Source organism: Homo sapiens, chromosome 9, assembly GCF_000001405.40.
Source record: "Homo sapiens chromosome 9, GRCh38.p14 Primary Assembly".
Lineage (NCBI taxonomy): Eukaryota > Metazoa > Chordata > Mammalia > Primates > Hominidae > Homo > Homo sapiens.
Genome location: NC_000009.12, coordinates 31,528,937 through 31,554,675, shown reverse-complemented (window position 1 = coordinate 31,554,675; position 25,739 = coordinate 31,528,937).

Here is a 25,739-nt window from a genome sequence, read left to right as displayed (position 1 = left end):
TGTAAGCATCTACTCTGCAGAGCCCATTCAACACTTCCTGGCTGGGTCAGACATGGAGACTCAGTTATGGACCCACCCTGTCAGTGCTGGTCAACCCAGCAAAGACTGTTGCTCAGGTATGAAACAAGGCTAGTACACATTGACTTATGAGTATCATTTGAGGTAGGTTCATCTTGTTCCCTACCTGCCACACTTTTAGATTAGAACCAGAGTCTACAACATTACACAACATGGGTTAAAGGAGTGTTAGATAGGTAGAAAGGAAAAACACATCAGACCAGCGTCAACAAGAAAACAAAAGAAGACACCAATCCCCCATCCCGTATCTGACATGAAAGCAAAGTGGGGACTAGGGCACTTTGCTGAACCCCAAATTTGGGCCTATGTTCCAGCAGAGAGAGTCTTTATCCCTGTGAGTTTCACTTTCTTTTGGGGGATTAGGATGGGTGGGTGTAGGGTTGTGTTTAGAGGATTAAAAAAATCAGCCTTGTCTGTGGAAGAATATTCAGTTGATTTTATCTCCTGGAAGTCATGAGTTGGGAGCCAGCTGTTCAGAGGTGTTGACTGATAAAAGTACTCAGGGTCCCAGGAAATGTTTCTTAGGGGAAGAAAGTCATTGTTTCAGTGTGAATCTGAAGGAAAAAAAAAGAGATAATAAAAACACTTAAAACTTGCTGAATGCCTTACATAAAACACTACTGTGTGTTCTGGCATAGAAATTGCTCTGAATAAATGGTAGCTATGATTGCTTCCCAGACAACACCACCCAGAGGTTGGATAGCTATAGGGTATATATTAACACATATTATAATAGAAACAATAGATTTTATTTCTGAGTAACTGCCAGCACACTTGCCATTTCATCAAGGTCTCAACGTGCTTTCCTTTATGTGTACTTACAAATTACTATTTTTTGAAATAATATAATTACATAACCCAAGAGTCAAAAATTATATTAAAAGGTTTATTCAGGGAAGGCCTGCCCCTGTCTTGTCTCCATTTATGGGTAGAAATAACCATTTTTCCTAATTGAATACCCTTTATTTCCTTCTCCTGCCTAATTGCCCTGGCCAGAACTTCCAACACTATGTTGAATAGGAGTGGTGAGAGAGGGCATCCCTGTCTTGTGCCAGTTTTCAAAGGGAATGCTTCCAGTTTTTGCCCATTCAGTATGATATTGGCTGTGGGTTTGTCATAGATAGCTCTTATTATTTTGAAATATGTCCCATCAATACCTAATTTATTGAGAGTTTTTAGCATGAAAGGTTGTTGAATTTTGTCAAAGGCCTTTTCTGCATCTATTGAGATAATCATGTGGTTTTTGTCTTTGGCTCTGTTTATATGCTGGATTACATTTATTGATTTGCGTATATTGAACCAGCCTTGCATCCCAGGGATGCAGCCCACTTGATCATGGTGGATAAGCTTTTTGATGTGCTGCTGGATTCGGTTTGCCAGTATTTTATTGAGGATTTTTGCATCAATGTTCATCAAGGATATTGGTCTAAAATTCTCTTTTTTGGTTGTGTCTCTGCCCGGCTTTGGTATCAGAATGATGCTGGCCTCATAAAATGAGTTAGGGAGGATTCCCTCTTTTTCTATTGATTGGAATAGTTTCAGAAGGAATGGTACCAGTTCCTCCTTGTACCTCTGGTAGAATTCGGCTGTGAATCCATCTGGTCCTGGACTCTTTTTGGTTGGTAAGCTATTGATTATCGCCACAATTTCAGATCCTGTTATTGGTCTATTCAGAGATTCAACTTCTTTCTGGTTTAGTCTTGGGAGAGTGTATGTGTCAAGGAATTTATCCATTTCTTCTAGATTTTCTAGTTTATTTGCGTAGAGGTGTTTGTAGTATTCTCTGATGGTAGTTTGTATTTCCGTGGGGTCGGTGGTGATATCCCCTTTATCATTTTTTATTGCGTCTATTTGATTCTTCTCTCTTTTTTTCTTTATTAGTCTTGCTAGCGGTCTATCAATTTTGTTGATCCTTTCAAAAAACCAGCTCCTGGATTCATTAATTTTTGAAGCGTTTTTTGTGTCTCTATTTCCTTCAGTTCTGCTCTGATTTTAGTTATTTCTTGCCTTCTGCTAGCTTTTGATCTTTGACAAACCTGAGAAAAACAAGCAATGGGGAAAGGATTCCCTATTTAATAAATGGTGCTGGGAAAACTGGCTAGCCATATGTAGAAAGCTGAAACTGGATCCCTTCCTTACACCTTATACAAAAATCAATTCAAGATGGATTAAAGACTTAAACGTTAGACCTAAAACCATAAAAACCCTAGAAGAAAACCTAGGCATTACCATTCAGGACATAGGCATGGGCAAGGACTTCATGTCTAAAACACCAAAAGCAATGGCAACAAAAGTCAAAATTGACAAATGGGATCTAATTAAACTAAAGAGCTTCTGCATAGCAAAAGAAACTACCATCAGAGTGAACAGGCAACCTACAAAATGGGAGAAAATTTTCGCAACCTACTCATCTGACAAAGGGCTAATATCCAGAATCTACAATGAACTCAAAGAAATTTACAAGAAAAAAACAAACAACCCCATCAAAAAGTGGGCGAAGGATATGAACAGACACTTCTCAAAAGAAGACATTTATGCAGCCAAAAAACACATGAAAAAATGCTCACCATCACTGGCCATCAGAGAAATGCAAATCAAAACCACAATGAGATACCATCTCACACCAGTTAGAATGGCAATCATTAAAAAGTCAGGAAACAACAGGTGCTGGAGAGGATGTGGAGAAATAGGAACACTTTTACCCTGTTGGTGGGCCTGTAAACTAGTTCAACCATTGTGGAAGTCAGTGTGGTGATTCCTCAGGGATCTAGAACTAGAAATACCATTTGACCCAGCCATCCCATTACTGGGTATATACCCAAAGGACTATAAATCATGCTGCTATAAAGGCACATGCACACGTATGTTTATTGCGGCATTATTCACAATAGCAAAGACTTGGAACCAACCCAAATGTCCAACAATGATAGACTGGATTAAGAAAATGTGGCACATATACACCATGGAATACTATGCAGCCATAAAAAATGTTGAGTTAATGTCCTTTGTAGGGACATGGATGAAATTGGAAACCATCATTCTCAGTAAACTATTGCAAGAACAAAAAACCAAACACCGCATATTCTCACTTATAGGTGGGAATTGAACAATGAGATCACATGGACACAGGAAGGGGAACATCACACTCTGGGGACTGTTGTGGGGTGGGGGGAGGGGGGAGGGATAGCATTGGGAGATATACCTAATGCTAGATGACGAGTTAGTGGGTGCAGCACACCAGCATGGCACATGTATACGTGTGTAACTAACCTGCACAATGTGCACATGTACCCTAAAACTTAAAGTATAATAATTAAAAAAAAAAGAAATAACCATTTTTTTATATTTGTATGGTTTTATGATGCTTCCAGTGTTTCTTTGGGCAAGTGCAGCAAATATATCTACATATTTTTATATATAGCCTTTCTTACAGAAAAAAAATACATATATTATACTATGTTAAGGTTTTTGATTACTTTTGATGCTGCTCTGACTGTGGTAGAAATGAAGAGAGTAGAATGCGAAGGAATTTTCATTTTTACTACAGGCCCGTACTCTTATTTAATCCCTAAAGCAGTGGCTTCTCTCTCTCTTTCATCATCTTGAATTCTGTCTTACAGATCTTTGTATAACTGGTGACCATTTCTCCTTCCATCCCAGAGCCTAACACAACACTGGGCACAAAGAAAGTAATCATACTAATTCATTCTAGTAGATTTGGAGAGATAACAGTGCGACTTCACTTAGCCGAAGCCTTTTTCATTGCTATATAGTAATAGAATGTCATAATAAAGATTGGACAGGAGGAATTTTGGCAACTTTTATGAGCATGTTTGCCTGTGCCAATGATTTGAAGTACTATTGATGTGTGCTGCATGATGTCTCATAATGCACACGGAAGTGCTAGACTAGGAATATTTGGTTCATACTCGGCGTGACTCTCAAATGCCCCATCAGATTTTCATGCAGGTAAATAAAACCATTTGTTTATCTGAAAAAAGGTAATGATAATTTTAAACATTTGTTGGATGAGGAAAAAATAAATATATAAAATGCCTCAGGGTCTGAGACATAGGGTCTTTGCAAAGCATACCACAGTGCTCCTGCCAAAATATCCCTACCTGTTGCAAATTCATACATGTTTCAAATTTCAACACCTCTGTAGGGATAACATTTAATATGTCAGTAAAGTGTGGAAAAATGTATTTTCCTCTTGCAATGAGACAGTTTCAGGTGCTCATAATTGTGCTATACACTCTAAGTTTTCAAATATATTAAAAAATGATTCATAATGACTTAGGCAAAGAACATTATGCAAATGATATACCTAAAATCTAGTTTAATTCCAAAGATTCAATCTTTCTCACATTTTAAATATTAATCATTTGGTTTAAATGTCTGATTTTAGGTCAAAAAAACTAGAATAAAAGCACCAATTTTCCAATGCCCAATTATATCTTAATGTATTTCTGTCTAACCGGAATTTTAAAAAAGTAGTTGAGAAAAGATACTGAGTTATTTTACAGAATAGAACTTGGAGTCTATGAGGACAGTTAATAAAATTTCCATCAAAGAGAAACTGAAAGGAAATTTAATCACTTGGTCAAAAGTATAATTGTCCATTTAGGATCTGAATATTAAATTTAAATGATGGTAGCAGTGCATTTAAATGTTCACACCTAATTCTTTTGAAGGATAAAGCTTCAAAATTTTGTATCATTCTGCAGGGATAAGACTCTTCTGTAGTGAAGGCATATGGGGTATTACAGTAAGTTTTACCAAATTCTTTCCAAGAAACAGTCCCTACTGATGGGGTAAGAACAGATCTAAGGAGACTTTGCTTTGGTATATTTACATTGAATAATATTTATAAATTTGATATTTAAATTGTAGATATATTACTTGGAAGCAACTTCTTTATCCTCAACTACTATCATGTGTTTAAAGCTATTGCTATTAAATAAGAGGTTGTATCAGGACTTAAGATATATTTTAAAAACCACAGGCATACACACATGTACACACATACTCAGAAGGTCAAATAGTTTGCAAAACTATAAAAATTCTAGCCCCTGCATTTATCATATCATTATTTTTAAAAGAAATTAATATAATAAAGTGGAAGTCATATGATCTATTTTCAAAGGAAAAATAAGGTAAAAATTTAAAATATGAAGATTATGAATCTTTATTATTTAGACTATTATGAAATAAGCAGGACAGTATCTTTTGTCACAGTGTCGTATTGCAAGTTTGACCAGCCCATGTCCCATTAGTAGGCTTATTCATATCTAGGAAGTATAAATAAATCTACAGATGTTTTGGTTTCATATGACTCTAAGGAATATAAAGAAAAATAAAAACTTTAAAATGTTGTGTGATCGCCCATTTATTTTTAGTGTTTTTTTTTTTTTTGAAATACGGTCTCCCTGTGTTGCCCAGGCTGGACGTGAACTCCTGGGCTCACCTGATACTCCTACCTCAGCCTCCCAAGTAGCTGAGATTACAGGCTCATGTTACCGTGGCTGGCTCTCCTATAATATTTAAATATAACATCAGTTGATGCAATGGACTTGTAATTGTAAATGAAACATTGTTCCTTATAGTAAATGAAATTCATATAATGTCTACTGGAGATGATTTTGCTGTTAGTTCAAGTGTTTGTGTTAACATATGGGATAGAGTATTATTAAAGTATGTCTACACTTCATCATTTTGTTTTGTTCGAACTGACAAACTAATGTAACTATGAATACCTTAAATAGTCAACACAATTAAATACAGCATAATTAATTAAATGAAATTCTAATTGCTTGAATGCATAATGTTCATGGGTCATTGCAACGGGAATCAGAATCTCTGACATGGATATTTGCTCTTGAGCAAACTACCCAGGTTTGCTTTTGAGTGTCAGCTTCGACATGTAAAATAAAAGCATTGGGTCTAATAATCTCTTTTGAAAGAAAAAAACTACTCTTTTTATGAGAACACCATTTTTACCCTTCAAACCATGGAAGATGAGCTCTCCCTCTGATCAGGAGGAAATGATTTTGACAAGGTTGTCAGTGATCTCTGAATTGCTAAAATAAGTAGGTGCCCAGCAGTTCTTGGCTTACTTGATCTCTGCAGCTTTAGATATGGAGATGGCTCTTTTATTTCAAAAACTGCCACCTTCTTTTGTTTTGTGATAGTGTTTTCCCCTGATTTTTCTTTTTCTTTGGTGGCCACACAGGTATAGAAAATTTAGTATTTTGGAACTGAGCTAAAAAACTTTGGCCACACAAATATTTCCTCTTGTATTTTCTTCCTTCGTGAATGGTATTACCATATCATTACCAAGTCAGCACACTTTGGTATAGGGTGTTACCTGCCATGAAGAAGGGGTAGATTTTTCTTCATACAAAGGTAATTTAATCTGAGCACCCCTCCTCCAATCCCACAAGGAAGAAAAAAGACTGTAATGTGTGAGGTCTGAGTCTGGTCAAATAAAGTTAAATCTTGCAAACAAGATTCTCCAGGGAAATGTGAAATGAATCAAATAGTAACAATTATCTAGGACTCAGATTTTGGAGGAGAATTAAATCTACTCTGCCCACTGCAGTGGCTGTTTGAATATTGGTTTTCATCCTGACTTTGGATGAGTTTTGGATTAGTTTTCAAGGTTATCTAGTGGGGGTAGGAAGGAAGATTTGGAGGGGATTAGGGCAATGAAGACACAACAAACTTCATGATTTTTATTAAAATGCAGCCATTTGTCTTGAGTAATCACTTTTTGGAAATCATTACTCACAATTCTCACAGACTTCATTTTTCCTTAATATATGAGTTTTTTGACATGACTTCTCAAACTTTTTCAAACAAAAACACATCTTTCTTTCATCAGCTGATGAAATATTTTACTAGTAAAATAAATGCAATCCAGAGGAACTATTTCATATTTCTACTACTAAATAAACAAATTTACCTACATATGTAATTACATTACCACCTACCCCCCTTTTCTAATGAAAAACATCTTTTTCCTATTGAAATCCAAACCAAATGGGTTGTGCTATAAATCTCATTTCCCCTCTCATACTCTAGTCTAGTTCATTCTTATAAATTTCTTCTTTCTTTTGAATTGTCATGTTTCTCTTTTTTACTGTATCATAACCAAAACCATACAACTGTAATATACTCTTTATTAAAAATTTCCTTCCTTAACTACCTGTTTTCTTGCTTTAACTGAACTGTATCTTTCCTTGCCTTTCTGCCTCAGGTTCACAACTATGTTACTTTTAACTCTTCCCATTTTCTTAACTGTAATTTCCAAGAAAGGAGCCTTTCATAGCCAAGCAATGAGCTGATTTAGTCTCTGGGGGCAAACACTGGGTCTAGGTCTGAGAAGGTCTTGTTTGAATAAAGAAGGGCTGGCTGAACTATCACTAAAAATAGAGGCAAGTGGGAGAGATCAATGTCTCAAAGGTATAAATGCAACAAACTCTGCTTAATATATCAGTTGTTCTTTACCCATATTATCCTTTAATTGCATGAAGTAAAAAGAAGTGAAAGTGTTACTGAAAGGCAGAGCCCCTGCAGTCTCAAGTATTTGTGAAGCATAGAGCCTCTTAATCCAAAGGCAGTGTCTTGCCCCCATCTCGTCCTGGCTCAAACACTTTTTAAACTGCTACATGATAATTGCACATATGTATGGGGTACATATGATATTTTGATACATGCATACAATGTTTAATGATCAAATCACAATATTTAGGATATCCATCACCTCAAACATTCATTATTTGTGTTGGGAACACTTCAAATTTTTTCTTCTACCTATTTCGATGTATATGATAAATTATTGTTAATCACCCTAGTGAAATATCAAACATGGAGGTAGAGAGGGTTATCAGAGGCTGGAAAGGATGGGCAGGGGATGAAGGGAGGATTAATAGGTACACACAAATATACAGTGAAAAAGAAAGAACAAGTTCTAGTATTCAAACACTTTGTAAGAAGAATAAACCCTGATTCATACCTCACACCATACACAAAATAACAATTCAAAACGTTGACTCAAGATAGATCACAAAAGCTAAATTTAGAAAGTTCAAAGAAAAAACATAGTAGATTATCATTGTAACTTGAATGAGGATTAAGGTTTCTTAGAATGCAAAAAGCAGTAAACTGAAATTCATCACAATTAAAAAATTTTACTCATCAAAAGACACAGAAGACAAAAAGCAAACTACAGACTGCATAATCAGATTCTAAGTACATATATTTATCAAAGGAGTAATACTTACATTATCCAAAGAACTTATTAGTCAATAACTAAAAGGACAACAACTCAATAAAATTATTACCAAGGCTGCCAGGTGCGGTGGCTCACGCCTGTGATCCTGGCACTTTGGGAGGCAGAGGCAGGCGGATCACCTGAGGTCAGGAGTTTGAGAACTGGCAAAACCCAGTCTCTACTAAAAATACAAAAATTAGCTGGGCGTGGTGGTGCATACCTGTAATCCCAGCTACTTGGGAGGCTGAGGTAGGATAATTGCTTGAACCTGGGAGGCAGAGCTTTCAGTGAGCCAAAATCGTGCCACTGCCCTCCAGACTGGGTGAGGGAGCAAGACTCCTTCTCAAAAAAAAAAAAAAAAAAAAAAAAAAATATATATATATATATATATATATGTATATATATACACACACACATATATATACGTATATATACACACACACATATATATACATATATATACACACACATATATATATATACACACACACACATATATATTCCAAAGGCTTATATGGGCACTTCATTAAAAAGATTAAAGAAATAAGGCTGGGCATGGTGGTTCACACCTGTAATCCCAGCACTTTGGGAGGCCGAGGCGGGCGGATCACAAGCTCAGGAGATTGAGACCATCCTGGTCAACATGGTGAAACCCCATCTCTACTAAAATACAAAAAATAGCCAGGCATGGTGGTGCGCACCTGTAGTCCCAGCTACTTGGGAGGCTGAGGCAGGAGAATCGCTAGAACCTGGGAGGCAGAGGTTACAGTGACCCGAGATCGTGTCACTGCACTCCAGCCTGGCGACAGATCAAGACTCCATCTAAAAACAAACAAACAAAAAAGATTAAACAAATATACAATAAACACATCGAAATATTCTCAAAATTATCACTCAGTGAAATGCACATTAAACCACAGTGAGATACCACGACTCACTAACTACAAGTGCTAACAGTAAAAAGACTAATAAATCAAATATTAGAGGGAATGGGAAATAACTGTTGGGATTATATAAACAACCTTCATATGTTGCTGGTGAGAGTATATAAAGGTACAACTTCTGTGGAAAACCATTTTGCAGTTTCTTATAAAATTAAATTTATACTTACCTTATGATTCAGCAGTTATACTCCTGGTATTTACACAAAAGATATAAAAACACAAAACAACTTGTACAAAATGAATATTCCACTCTATTTATTATAGCAAACATTGGAAACTTTCATATGTTTATCAACAAGAGAATGAATGAACAAGTTGTAATACAATCATAGAATGCAGTTATATTCCATAATTAAAAGGAACAAATACACCAAAAGGATCTGATACATGCCACAACATGATAAATTACAGAAAAAATAGGCCAGGTGTGGTGGTTTACTCCTGTAATCCCAGTGCTTCAGGAGGATCACCGGGCAACGTAGGGAGATCTCCTCTCTACAAAAAAAAAAAAAAAAGTAGAAAAAAATATACTTCAGTCTCCTTGATTAGATTTCTAACTTTCTTTCATGAAGCAAGAAACTTAGACAAGTAGAATGCCTGTATTTTATTGTAAAATATTTGCATTTTTAAATCAAATTTATTTGCTATTTTTTCTCAGCATGCTAAATTATAAATATGACATACAAATTGCTTATTACTGCATAAAAAAGATGTAAAAGTCTGTTTTTTACCATATTGCTTGATAATCAGAAAGTGATGTTTTAATCGTTTACTGTTTAGTTGTGAGGTGGTTCCTTTATACAGGCAGTTTACTTTGTTTTGGTTCTGCTTGGGGAAGTTGGTTAGAGTTTTGTAGTAGTAGTATAATGCAATATCAAGTTGTTCCTCCCTAGCATAATAATAAGCTCCAAGTTAGTGATTTCTGGCAGAATATTTAATTTCTATAAGCAGTGTACTAAATTATTTATTATTAATATTAATTGTTAATATTAACAATTATTAGTTTAATAATATTTACTAATATTAAGCAAAAAATGACTGTATTTGATTTTACTTTAATGTGTTCTTGTTTGAGCCCATGAAATGTCCCTGTGATGTCTCTGTTAAGAAACAGGCACAACAGATAGCGTCATGATGTCATAGAAAGCCAAGTAACAGATTTTATATATATTTAATTTTCTCCTGAAATAAAATTCCAAAGCAGAGGTTTCTCCTGAACTGGGCTATATAGACATATACAGTTTCTCTTCCACCTTCGAAACTACACCATATCACTCTTGTGCTATTTAGTGGTTGACAAGATGAACTTACAGATAAGAGCACAAGGCTGACTTGGCCTTCTCCATAAGTGGGAGCTCACCCTGGACTGATTATTGCTATAGCAGCCTAAAAGGAAGAAGAGAAAGGAAGCACTACTCTGATTTTCTAATTTGATCCCTCATCTCTAACTATGCATAGCTATCTTGACCAACAGATTTCCTCAGGACAGATTATACCATAGGCACTACATGATACTACAACACATAATGGGTTGCTAATACTTATGTGACATAAATTCTGTCTTCTACAGGGGATTCCCATTTCCAAAAAGAAGTTAACCAAACAAACAGAAAACTTCATAGCCAAATTTTCATTTTAAACGTATGTTTTAAAGTGCAGCAAATAAATAATAAATGCATGAAATAAATTACTTTTAAAATATATTCTGTCCAATGTTAAGGAGTGTTTTCTTTAAAGCAGTTCATACAGCTCATTCAACTGCACATATTTATAAATGTTTGAGTTTCTCATGTTTCTTCTCACAGAAATTTTTTTTTGTTTTTTGATTCATTTTCCAAATATAAGCTCAACTACTATCACTGCCTTTTCAGGTGTTATGTAATAATTTTTATTTAATGATGACAGCATAATTAAGATTTTAAAGTATACTCTATGTCTATACTCTTGCTTATTTTTTTTCAAAAGGTAGGCACAATGCTAATTTATTTTGTGTTTGAGCAAGGTACAAATATAAAAAAACATTTCTAGGAGTCTTATTTTATAAAGAAGAAAAAAGTCGTAACTCTGATCTTATATTTGTTGAAAAAAATAGTAAAAATGGAGTAAGAACTTTATTTCACTTTATGTGTGTTTTTGTGTATCTGTATGTTTGGAAGCAAACAGATAACCCGTGATTATCACTTGTCTATCTGTCCCTTAAAAATAGTACATTTGTAATATATTTGTTCTTAAGTCTGATATTTTAAGAGAGAATATCAAATAGAACAGAAAAAAATCATTTTGAAATTTTTGTCTGATCCTGATCCATTTAATCTTGAGCTCAGCTATCCAGCAGCACTTTTCCCTAAACGTGATTATCACGTTTAGGGAAACACTTCTTGTCAGACTACACAGAAAATCTTTCTGAATGTAGGCTCCTGTGAGGTCTCTTGTTTTCAGTAAGTTAGAGAACTGATGTGATATGTTTGTTTGATATAGGATAGAGTTGTGATATTTGTTGCTGTATTTGTTCATATGGTGTTTATTTTCTGGAAAACAAAAGTTCTTACATCACTCTATGAAACTCATAATGGTTTTAGATAAGCTCCGTGGAGGCTTTCATTTCAAAGAGTTCAACATTCGGTAAATAGAAATACTCTTATTAGTCATACAGAATCATTTCACAATAATGTTTTCTAATAACACTGGAGAATTTGTGGGGCCCTCTCTGGGCCACTAACCCTGTTACAAACCACATCTACTTGCAAAACAGCTAGAGTTTCAGGCTGTAGTTATCTGCCTTAGCTAGGATTGAGCAAGCAGAAGACAGCTGCTGCCCTTTCTCATCTAGCCTGTAGGGTGAGCCTTGCACGTGAATCTATCAGAACAAAAGCAATCTATTGACCTAAATGGGAACTGAGCTGATACATAACCTCTGCTAAATGATCCATATCACAAAATGGTTGATTGGAGTGCTAAAAATCTTTTTGGATATTTTAATCAGAATTTTAGTAAAGACAACACTGGTATGCTGTCTGTTTATGACACGGGCTATTAAATCTAGACTTTCCTACTTCAGTTGATTGTTTGTAACAAGAATTAAATTGTGCTTCTAAAATTCCTTGCTTGTCTCCCCCCGGTGATTATGAGCATGCTTCCTTTTCCTCGGCCAAGTTTACAAGGTTTAAATGAAAAATAGTGTTGCCATGTTACACCTATGTGATCTGCATAATAGCTCAAGATGAATAGTGCTTCTTCAACTTTAGCAAAGGAAGATCTGTATGTTTCTTAAGCACTTGAATTTTAAGCATTGTATTTGATTGATGTTCTTGAAATGATACTTTCAGTTCTTTGCTAAAAACAAGGGTACATATCTGAAAGAAGCTCATCAGTCCAATAGCTCTTACAAATGTGCTGCTTTCTGTTTTTAAATAGAAAAGCGTCTGTCCTGGGCTTTTCTTTTTTCATTCTCACAGTGGCTCATTTGCACCATTCCTAGAAATATCATCACACTTGGCAGCTTTTCATTAAATGAGGGAGTGAATTTGTCAGCGTTCTCACAGAGAGCTATATTTATCAGGGCTTGCTTTTACACATTATAAGCTTTCTGCCATCCTGGGGAAAGCATGGAGAACAGTCAGTTCCCAGTGCTTCTTGCCTGTCAGGTCCAAACAGCTCAGAATTTGTCTAGGTTCAGCCTATAAGCACTGAAGAGGAGTTTGTCTCTTTTGCAAGGGTCCAGTTTTGTTGATTTTTCTTCAAGCTGTGTTTTAAGACTAGCTAAACACCAGGTGAAGTTTTTTGTTTGTTTGTTTTTTAAGTTGGGTGCAGTGGCCCACGGCTGTAATCCCAGCAATTTGGGAGGCCGAGGCAGGCGGATCACCTGAGGTCAGGAGTTCAAGACCAGCCTGGCCAATATGGCAAAACCCTGTCTCTACTAAAAATACAAAAATTAGCCGGGCGTGGTGGCAGGTGCCTGTAATCCCAGCTACACGGGAGGTTGAGACAGGGAGAATTGCTTGAACCTGGGAGGCAGAGGTTGCAGTGAGCCGAGATCACGCCACTGCACTCCAGCCTGGGCGACAGAACGAGACTCCGTCTCAAAAAAAAAAAAAAAAAGAAAAATTTTTTAAATGGGCTTGTCATTCATTATTAGGTGAATTTTCATATGAAGACAATTATTGTATTTTCCCATGGAATCTCTAGACACATTTGTTTGTCTTGGGCAAATTCAGTATCTGTTACTTTTTGGTTTAAGGAAAAGATATTTCATACTATTGAGATTCCATCTGTGCTTGTGAGTTGTGCTGACTTCTCCTGCTTCACTGCCTGCTACATATTCTACTTACCAGCCATGGGAAAGTTTTGCAGCAAATTCAAGTTATCACAAGTGTTTGAGGGCCTTATAGAATTCTACTTTGTTATTCTCTGTATTACTACAGCTTTCGGTACAATTCCTGTAAAAGTTCCACAAATACATTGAACAAGAGGTCACGTGCTTTTAGGTGTTAAAAGATGTCCAATACCGACTTTAAAATGCCTTTTTTAAAACGGTAGGTAGGTTCTTTTCTATCCAGGAGTAAGTTCTTTATCTCAGCTTCCCTTTTGTATGTATTGGTTCACTAGTTGAATCATTCAGGAGGTGTGTTGTGTTAATTTCTCTAAATAGTAACTCAGATGTGGCAATATAAACAAGAATAATACATGTTCACTATCCTGGAGGAGTTTGTTGTGTTATATAATCTAAAATCTCATGAATGCAATCTCAATCTTCAGAAACTCCCTGAATTAACTGCTGCGTTAAGAGAGAAAACACTAGGAAAGACATGAGTAAGCCCCTAACAATGGAGGCACAGTACTGCGGGAAATGTAAGGATGTTAGAATCAGAGGATAGGGTCTCTGCCTCCGGCTCTGCCCCTGCCGCAAATGACTTTAGGTGAATCACTGTAATCTCTGGATTACAAGGTCCTCATTTGAACAATGGGAAGAGCTTATTAAATTACAGGGAGAAATGAAAGTTATGGAGAGGGTCAAAATAGCATTTGGCATATACTTTGTCTTTAATAAAATTGGCCAGAAATTATATTTGGATACCATTGCTGCCACACATTTCCAAAGAGAAACTTATACTATACCAAGACTGTGCCTCTTAGTCAAGGCAAGTTTTAAGCAATTTTGCCCTTTTTATTTTCCTATTCTGGTGACCGTTGAACTGCCTCATGACAGGACTGACTTATGAGTTGCTTTACATTTTTGTTAAAATGCAGATAGGCAAAAAGAGAAGAGAAAAATAAGACCAACAAGAAAAATGTGAAGCTTTGAAAGCTTAGGGACTCTCTAGCATTTATTTCTGTGATGCAAAGCCAAACAGTGCCTCGCACATACAGTTTACAATAAAATTTTGTTAAACTGAAAACAGACAAAAATGCCTGATGTCTCTCTGCTTTAATCTCTACAGAGGCCAGAAAAATAGACTTCCTTTTTTTCACTTTGGAAAAATGGGAAAACTTCAGAAATTATAGATGATAATTAAATTTCAGAACTACTTACTATTTGCTCTGCTGCATAGGAAAATTAAAAACGGGATCTAGAGAAATACTGTTTAGGTGGAAGAAACAAAATGGCACTGAATTCATCTGCATGTTGACACATTTCCCATAACATTTACTATAGTGATAGGCAATTGTTAAGCTAGCTTCAAGGTTACTGGAAAATACAAAGTTTTGCTTGTATAAAAGTCATAAAGTACTGCAACAATGATGATCATGATAACAACAGCTACAAGTATTTTACAGTCAATCTGTGGCTATGTGTCAGACATCATTAGGTATGTTTTATGTGTATAGTATTATTTATCTTTATAAGTTCCGTAATAAACTAGGTACTATTATTTTCAATTGAAGATGAGGGAATCAAGGCACATGGTACTTTGGCAATTTGCCTAAAGTTACACAACTATTAAATAGAATAACTTGAATTAGAACTCAGGCTGACTCTAGGGTCTATAACTGTAATGGTTATGCTACAAAATATGAAAGCAGTTGAATGTCCTTGTGTTTGCTTCATACATTCACATCTAATTTTCAAAGACAGTAAAAAAAAATCCTTGTTAGTGCTTGCTCCAAATTAATTTCAGTTATGCAACACAAAAAAGCCTCATCACTACTGTGTCCCCCCACCTCATCCTATTGTTACCAGTGCCAGGCATCTGAGTTATCCCGAGTTCCCAGTGGCGTATTCGTATAGGTCTGCAGCAAATTCAGTTCTTGTCTCCTCAGAAGAAAGAATTTGATGGAGGGACATAAAGCAGAAGAAGAGACTGAGGTGAGGTGGAAGTTTATTTTTAAAAAGAATTTAGAACAGGAAAGAAAGGAAAATTCACTTGGAATAGACCCAAATGGGCACCTGAAGATCAAAGAGATCGTTTAACATTGATCTGAGGACTTTATGGGCTCACCTCTTTCCCATGATTCTTCCCTTAGGGTGGGCTTTCTGCATGCACAGGGCCTTCCTTACCCCTGGGAATTGAGCACACAGTGTGTTGAGAAAGTTGCCCGCATGCCCATCTGAGGCTTTCTTCCCTTTTCTGGTGGAGTGTCCCCAGGAGGTCATACTTCACCATTTTGTCTCTCAATTCATATGCCCAGGTAGTTTCTTCTCCCTGGCATCTGCATTCAATTAACACTTTAATGTTATAGCTGTGGATCATCAGGAGATTGTCTCTCCCTGGTGCCCTGGCTACTGCTGCGGAATTATCATTTTTCATTTTTAGAGAGGCAGTATAATAATTGTTGAACCATCACCTGACATTCCTACTGGGTGGGGGAAGAGCCCTCTTCTGCCTGGCTCATGCCTAACTACTTGTAACACTATCCAACATACACACACTTCCAACAATCATATCCAGGCAGCCTTAGCAATCTGAACCATTGTTAACATATTTGTTCAAGTTTAAAGAATAAAGTCACTGCCTATCCATTTTTTAATGTCAAATAAGATAAATATAGACCTATTAGTAGTAAGATCACTGCCTAGCAACCTTTGTGCTAATCATAGCTTTGATATATACTGTGTATATTTTGAGATTTCTAAGATAAACTTTAATACAGTCTTAAGAAATCTACCACTACAAGCTCCCAACACTGAAGAAGGATGTTTTTTAAGGTGTCTGGGTGATGTCTTATGGACTGACTATAAATTTATACTCTCCTCACAGATGTTTATGGTGACTTACATCAAAATGCCCAAAAGAATCACATAGGTATAAGAAAATTTATACCTATATTAAGCTCACCAGTTATTAGATGTTTTATTTAGGTAAGTTTCTAAATAGCTCTAACTTGAAGTTTCATCAGTTAAAAAATGAACTAAATTATCATCTCAGTGTTATTGGATAAAAAGTGATTTTAAAAGCCAGCTGAGTGCCTGCTACATTTAAGAAGCTCAGTAATAGTTGATGGTGATAGTAAGGTTATTAATTTATAGGAAGATATGAATTTTTTTTTACAAAGATGTTCAAAGTGAACAAGTGTTCTTTGTTGGGTTCTGTCTAGCAGTCTGGTTTATCAAGCAAGAAATCTTGCAAAGGAAAAGAGCAATATATATGGAGTGAGAATATCCAGACATTAGTCCTGGCTCTTGTGTGACCTTGGAAAGGTCTTTTACTGATTATGATCCTGCTTTCTGCAGCTGCAGAGGGATACTGACCCTTATCTTTCCATCGTCCTTGACCTTATTCCCCTTCTGCTGACTTTTTCATTTGTTAGGGAACCCTACCTAATGCTTTATTCCTTAAAGCATTTTATTGGGAAAACCTCCTTTCCTCCTACTCATTGTGATCTTCTGACTGACTTCCTCTCTCCATTCAAATTCTCATCTTAAATAAGACCTTTTCAAAGGGGTCTTCACTGGTCACCCTCAATAAACCTGAATTATCCCCAACTTTATTTGCTTCTTTACAATTATTATCTGAAATTGTCTTAGATATCACTCTGTTTACTGGATGTTGTCTGTTATTTTTTTATAGAATGACATCTCTATGAAAGCACAGACCTTGTCTATCTTATTTAGTACGTTATACCCAGACACAAAGTAGATTCTCAATGAATACTTGTTGAAGAAAGAATAATTACCCTGTCATTCTAAGACAATTAGCATGAGAACAAATAAAATAACAGATATGAAAGCATCTTCTGAACTGTAAAATACATTATAAGTTACTATTATTAGATGGATCTTAACATTTTCATGTTACTTGCTCAGAGTTATACACCTATTGTGTAGGAGAATTAGAACCCAGGCAGTCTGACTTAAGGGCCTATAGCCATAGTTCTTTTTCTGCAATTCATGTGCTGTTACAGAAACTAGACAAGTTAATGAGTCCACCCTCTTCAAATAAAATCATTCTTTCTTTTATTGGCTCGAATGGGTGGGTCAAAAATATTTTGGCCTATCAATACTTCCAGTAGATAGAGCTCAACATGACCTGGGAATTTTTGCAACTTGTTTTAAGAACTTGGTACAGAATATTTATTTTTTTCATGTTATCTATGCTTTCTTTGATAAACAAAAGTGTCTTAGGATCATAACAGAGATTATTCTTCACTTTTTCCCTTTCCATGCAAAGGACTCATTGGTTGAAAAAAAGTACAAAGGAACTAAACTACACGAAGCCTATAACTTGGCAAAAAAACTTTTCCATGACCTTCAGAGAGAAATGGGGCTATATTGAGGCTGATTTCCGTATTAAGGCATATTTGCCTGGAGTGAACTCTCTTAGGATTTCATTCGCAGCTGCTAGAAAGAAAATGACTTAAGAGAAGCCATATGTACTTGTTTTATAATTGTTGCAGACACTGTTTGACAAAATTCAGGGTTTTTTTAACCTGAAATACTGTTTATATAACTAGCTTATATGAGTACCGGTTCTTAGAGTCTTTTTATGATATAATCAGAACATAAAGTGTCCTGATTTTTTTCTTTACCTTTGTCAATGTAATTTTATGTTCATTGGCTGTCTTATGTAATTTCTATATAATGTTTAGTATATATTACTTCTGGACCTGGAGCAAAGTTATCTGTTTGTTTCTTTATTAGTTGCTTTGTAAAGTTCGGCAGGAACAAACAGCTCTGTATTACTAATATGCCATCTAGAAAATAATGACCATCTATTGGCGAAATTAAACCTTAGGTAATTCTAAAGATTTATTTTTGGTCAAATATGGTATTTAATGAAATGATAAGAACTTCATAATAATAAAATATTGGTAAATACATCTGAAAATGAAAGCTTCAGATCTAACGCAGTAGGCCTGCTCATATTTTAGAAGAGCAGAGTACTTACAAAGTGGAACAATCAGAATGTTGAGAGAGCTGAAAAGCATATCATATCTCACTAACAAAACAGTGTCTTTAACCTAGGAAAAAGGAGACTACAAGAAGACTTCCTCCTTTTCTCAGTATTTGAGAAAACATCATATTGCAGAGTATTTCAACTTCATGCTATACAGTTGCAAAGTGGGAGTCATGGGAACACAGATTTCTTTCAGCCCCGTTTCTGACTCACTCTTTGGAGAGCAAGTGTGCTGTGTTGGGAGATGGTAAGATTCCCGTTACTAGAAATGCAGAGAGAAGAGATATATAGAGATACAAGACTGCTTAGTGGAGATGGTACAGATACAAATGCATTTTTGTGGGGATTGACAAATAAACTTTAGGTTACTTTCACATTCTGGAATTCAGTGGAATATGCATTAGCAGGGTCAGAGCACTGTATGGAAAAAGACCTGAGATATAGAATTAATTCTTTTGGAGACCTTTGCGGGACTTTGGTCACATCATTTAGCACTGTTTTATTATCTGCAGTATCAACTTTAGAGCCAGTCAAGTGCTCAGGGGCAACTGCACTTATGAGCACTTCTCTTGATAAGTTTCTGGTTGCCCTTAGTTGCCTGGGACTACTCAGAACAAGCTGTGCCCAGTAGGATTCCCCAAACCAATGTGAGGGGCCGTGTGGGCCCCACTCTTTAATTTACTTCTGAATTCTCTCTGAACTCTACCTACATGGACAAGGTGGAACAGATGCTCCAATGAGCTCCAGAACCAACACATATGTAGTTTTCTAAGGGTCCTGTGTTTGAGCTCAGGCCTGGGAAGTTGATTGCCCACAGTGGACAGCTTGGTATTTCTTTGGACAAATTGAATGAGATTTGGCTTTCTGAATTTTACTGCCATCCTGGTTCTCACTCATGCTAGACGCAGGATGAGTTTAGGCTCTGGATTGCTAGTGATCCACTGTGAAACCTTGGGCTAAAGCCATGTGTGTGGCTTCATGTGTAAGTTCCCACTCATCCATATTTCAACCTCGGTTTAGCCTCCAGGATGCAGCGACCAAGAGCAACAGTGCCGGCAACAGGCATCCTTTACCCTGTGCACCTTCTGTTACTGGCACTCAAGCTGGCCACCTCACCATGTACGCAGTCTCTGTGCCACATTCTCCGTGTAGTGGTAGAGCCTATGTCTTCCAAGGACTTTAAAGATTTTCTCCTCAAATGCAGTAGGACTGTCCAGTTGACATTCTTTCTTTCATCCAATACATGCAGTGACATTGTCCTTTCCCAGGTTAGTCTTAAATCATGCTGGATAAAGAACAGACTTTCCTGGTATGAATGAAACTGCTTATTTCTCTGATCATGGATCTCTTGCCTGTTCTTTCCATTGTTGATTGTGTGTGGGAAGCAGAGGTATGGTTAACATTGAAATACGTTATCTTCTAAGAAAGCAGTGGTCAAGACCTAGAGTTCAAGAGAATATATTATTTGAAAACGTTTTCTTTTATGTTACGTAAAATTATAAATGGTAGATTTAACATTATCAGAAAATGAATTATCACGTACATTTTACTATTTTATCTGGATAAAACTTGAATTTGTAGTCATTGTCAACAATGCTCAATAATAACTTCTGAGAGAGTCAATAGAAGTCAGTATTTATGGGTAACACACTAGATACTGCAGCATTATAAAACATGGAATCAACTTAAATTCCCACCAGTGACAGACTGGATAAAGAAAATGTGATATGTATACACCATGGAATACTATCCGGTCATAAAAAAGAACAAGATTGTGTCTTTTGTAGGAACATGGATGAAGCTGGAAGCCATTATACTTAGCAAGTGAATGCAAGAACAAGAAACCAGGTACTGTAGGGTCCCATTTATAAGTGGGAGCTAAATGATAAGAATTTATGAACACAAAGAAGGAAACAACAGACACAGGGGTCTACTTGAGGGTGGAGGGTGGAGGGCGGGAGGAGGGAGAGCAGCAGAAAAGACAACTATTGGGTACTGGGCTTAATACTTGGGTGATGAAATAATCTGTACAACAAACCTTCATGATACAAGTTTACCTAGGTAGCAAACCTTCACATATGCCCCCAAACCTAAAATAAAACTTTAAAAATAAATAAATAAAATTTAAAAAGAAATTATGTAATTAGCATTAAATAAATGGTATCGAGAACTGTAAGGACAACAAGTTTTATATTTTTTAATACAAGCATGTTCTATAAAGCCATGATATTATGGATAATAACAGTGTTGTGTTTTTCTCAAGAAGGGGGATGTGAAATTAGTCAGTGATAGCATATTTCACAATACAGAACGTAAGAGAGAATTTATAAACTGGAAGAGGAAGAGATGGTACTTGGGCACTATGAAGAATCTTCATGGCTACTGAATGAACAATGAATAAACATATAAGTACCTCCTCTTTAAGCATTATTCTACGTCGTCATCAGTAAATTACTACGTTTAATAGGCATCCAGGAGTTTCCTACTACATTTTTTAATCGAGTTGTTTGTAGAAATGAGAGCCTCACAGAAATTATTTTCTCAGGGTACCACATATCCTAGCAATGGCACAGATCATTTATTTCAAAAATTGGCCTTGATTCTGTAAAAAGTCCCTTTACTCTAAAAGGCTAGCTTTTAAATATGCATTTTATTATATATTTCATACATATGTTTGGAATCGTTTTCAGTAAACTTAATAAGAATAAGCAAACTTAAATAGGGTAAGCTTGATGCACAAATAAGGTGAAATATTGTGTGACAGGCAAGACAAAAAAGTTGGATTAGGTTTGAATACTGGTGAAAATAATAATTGGATCTGGCCTAGTCTATTAACTTTACTACTTCACTGGCAAACAAGCTATGCAAAGGATTCTTATACAAATGCAAAAATAAGTAATGGCAGAGGTGGATGTGGCTTCAACATTTTTAGTTCTCCATAAAGACATGGCTAAAGTTTAGATATTCACCTGAAGTACAGAATCTTCCATGTTAGATTCTGGGAGAGCTACTTATTATACTACTTTACCTGAGAGTCTGAAAAGGGCCTTCGTCACTGCCATAACCACAGCCATACAGTTAGCCAATTGGTTTCTTGCTGCACAATTTAACACTCTCAAGAGTTCCTTAAGTGGGCCTACCCATGGCCTACTCTATAGATAGTGACGTTTTCATTTGCACAAGTCCCTTTCATTTTAATATGGGTCCAATGGGAGTCTCTTAAATTGAAAGAACCCTACGAACAATTAAAATATGAAGGTATATGTCGAGAATTAAAATTGCCCAGCTTTATATGCCTTCCTCACCAATAAGACAAGTTAACTCTACACTTTCAATCAAAGACTAATGGGTTTAATTACTATTTAATATAAGTATATCTGATGCCAAGATGTTATTCCCCCTGAAGCATGAAGCATGATGTTACTCAGGGGCAGATGAGAGGAGATGTAGCAGCCATGGGTGTTGGCATTGAATCTGGAGTAAGAGTTGGGGACTTGTGAGGATTTGTAGGAAGAAAGGTGATATAGTAGCTCCAATGATGTTTCCAAACTAACATATCAGGTTTCATACTGAAATGTGAGGAACCAGAGATTCAGAGATTGCACAGAATAGAGTAGATACATATGTGTTTGGGTGTCAGACAATTTGACTTTAAACCTCATTTACTATTTACTGGCTGTGTCATATAGAACAGAGCTGCCATCTATGGTTGTGCAGGTTGTGCGCTGTCCAAATTCTCTCAGCCAGTAAGGATTCAGCAGTGATCTTGCCGAGGGATGCTCAGGGCTGCTTCTGCCTAGAAGCAGAGAAGCCTTTTTCTCATTCCCACAAAAGTACTATGCATCCTGAGGGTGCTAGTTAACCTCTCTGAGTCTCAATTTCCTCATCATAATATTTACCTTGTAAGGTTGTTGTGAAGAGTACAGATAATGTGTGTGAAAAGCCTCCAATAATATAGACACCTAATTAGAGGCTGTTAGACTAATAGGAATCTTGCTTTGTGCTCATCCCTGTGTGTGGACACGTGGGGGATTATATCACAATATTGTCTTCTAGCAGATTATGAATTATGTGTTGAAAGCAAAATTTTCACGTTAGCCATATTGAGGGGGAGAAGTCAGGGTTGCCTAGGGAATTAAGTAAAGTGTCATGACAGAATCTGAGGCATTTTATTCTGTGCAAAACTATACCTCCTTTTAAACAAATGTTTTAAAAAATATCCTGTTTTGGAGCATTCATATTCATTATAATTGATACTATGCAAAATAGCCCTTAAAAATAAGCCTGACATGAAATGTAGCAACATGTTAACAGGATAGAGGGAGCACAGAGAAGAGGACTCTAGAGTTAGAGAGACCATGGCTTAGACCTTTGCTCTGGTCTTTACCAGCCTCATGCTCTTTAACAAATTCTTCCTGAGATCCAGCTTCATCAGTAAAAGTAGATTATGTAATAAAACCTATCATATGCTTTCGCTGTGAGAATTGAATGAGATCATGAAATAAATAACTGTAAACTATTAATAGTATTACCATATTGAGCAGAAGCACTAAAGGTGATTGACTTTATACATTTCTCAATTTTCCGTTTCTCTAGAATGAGCATAAATTATCTTTATAACAGAAAAATATAAACTTAATTTTTAAAGCATTTCAGTGATATACAAACTGTGATTGTGTGCATGTAAGGAAACAGAATCGAAAGCAATGGAACCGTCTCAAGGCCATGCCTGTCAGATGAAGCACAAAGTTCTTTCTTAAGTTTATCTTTTTTTCAAGTGGGCACTGCTGAGTTTTTATCTAAATCAGCAAAAGAGAGGAAAGAGTGAGTGTCTAGGTTAAGGATGCCAGTTTTTTTTTTGAGCGGGGGAGAGGGGTAGAAGAACAGAGCACAAAGGTAAATTTGAATTTCAGATCACTAGTAAATTTATTTGTTAGTATGTTTTCATGTTTTTTTAATCAACAAATGCTAATTTGTTGATTGAAAAAATGCTGCATTATGAAATATATGAGATATGCCCCCATACAATATTGAGACATACCCCAAAATAGTACTTATTGTTTATCCTAAATAAAAATTTAAATTGGCATTCTGTATTTTATCTGGTAATCCTATTCAAAAGCTTACACTTTGCAAAAGCTTACACCCATTATCTTTCCAGTGGCAATGCTACTCTCTCAGACCTGCTGAGCTAAGGTCTGCCTAGGCTTCCCAAAGAGAGAACAGAATGGGCCACCAAGGCCATCAAGATTCTTCTCCTTACTCAAGGAATAACCAGGTTATAAAAAAAAGTAAAACAAAACCAAAATATTAAGCAGAGGTTGAAGAGGATGACAGTCTGACATAAAGGTTCCGTGTCTGTTGCAGCACCTTGAAATACTGAGGAAGCGACGGGACCAGGAGGTTATTTAAATTTAACATAAGCAAGGCTAGTAATCCCTTGGAACAGCCTTTCAAATAAACTTTACAAGGCAAGCATACATGCATTTCCTCTAAAGAGGTCAAGGTATGAAAGAAATAATTCATCAAATGCACAAACCTAGGTAACAGTGCTGATACTAGGAATCAGGGTGGAAAGCACAGTGCAAAAGGGTCTGTGGGCTGTGAACATTTGGAATCTCAAATGTGGTATGTGAATCTGAAGCACATTTGAGACCAAGAGCACTAAATGCTGCCAGTAAGAGATATCTACGTGTGACTTTCATGGTGCCATATAATATGTTTTTGAAATGTTCGTGGCTCATATACTGAAGTTAAAGTAGTTTTTATGTAGTTAAAGGTTTGAACAGTAAAAGAACTCTTCAGCTTCGGAATTACCTGCGAGAAGAACTGATAGCGTATTATTCGAGTGCTAATTTGTTGATTGAAAAAATGCTGCATTATGAAAAGATGGAAGGTAATCCCCGTTCTACTTTCCATTACAAATGTTTTCCATTTGGGTGATGGAGAAGTTAGGTTTAGAATCCTTGTTGCTTTATTTTTTATTTTCATTATGTAAGCATTATTCAAACACCTTCGGAAGAATTGCTTTTGTGTAATAGTTTACAAATAATTATGTAGAAAGATTATGAAAGTCTAATATTTAAGATTTCTAACCTACTGCATTGGAAAAAAACCATCCTCTTCGCGAGTGATTATGAAACAGCTTTAACATATATTTATGTGCAAAATATTTTGTCTTTTATGATATTTTGGTAAGAAGGAGTTTTTAGAGCAATTAATAATGCATTAGATGACAGCTTATCATTGCTTTTTTTAATCAAATGTCTCACTGCACCACTTTGTAATTTCACTCTCAGCCATCTGCCAAGTTAGGTACTTTCACCACGTATTGTTTTATATATGTGTCCTACTTTGAAACTCTCAACGTTTTTTTGGCTTTGTTTTCTACTGACACAAAATTCAAATAACTGAATGTGTGAATGTTCCATATTTTTGTACAAATATAAGTATCATGGAAAATATACATATATTACGTGAGAAATACTGGTCTTTAAGCTTCATTTAGTTGAGTGCTTACTTCTTGATAAAGTAATATTAATATTTCTTAGTGGAATGCTTTTTATACCTGGAAAAAAATTCTAAGATTTTCCTTGACTTTTGATTATCTCTAGCTATGGTGACAAACAGTATGTTTTCTGCACCCACTGCTGGTAGGCCATTCCTACAAATATGGATTCAGGAAGTGAACAGGATAAAATTATTGTTCCTCATGTCTACATGGTAAACATGAGTGGCATAATCAATATTCTAAGAGATGATATATAACAGAGGTCTCCAACACCCAGGCCATGGACTAGTAGTGGTCCGTGGCTTGTTAGGAACCAGGCCACACAGCAGGAGGTGAGTGGCGGGGGAGGGAAACTTCATCTGTATTTACAGCTGCTGCCCATCATTTTTTCACATTATTGCCTGAGCTCCGCCTCCTGCCAGATCAGTGACGGCATTAGATTCTCACAGGAGCACGAACCCTATTGTGAAGCGCACATGAAAGGGATCTAGGTTGCTCCTTATGAGAATTTAATGCCTGATGATCTGTCACTGTCTCCCATCACCCCCAGATGGGACTGTCTCATTGCAGGAAAACAAGCTCAGGGCTCCTACTGATTC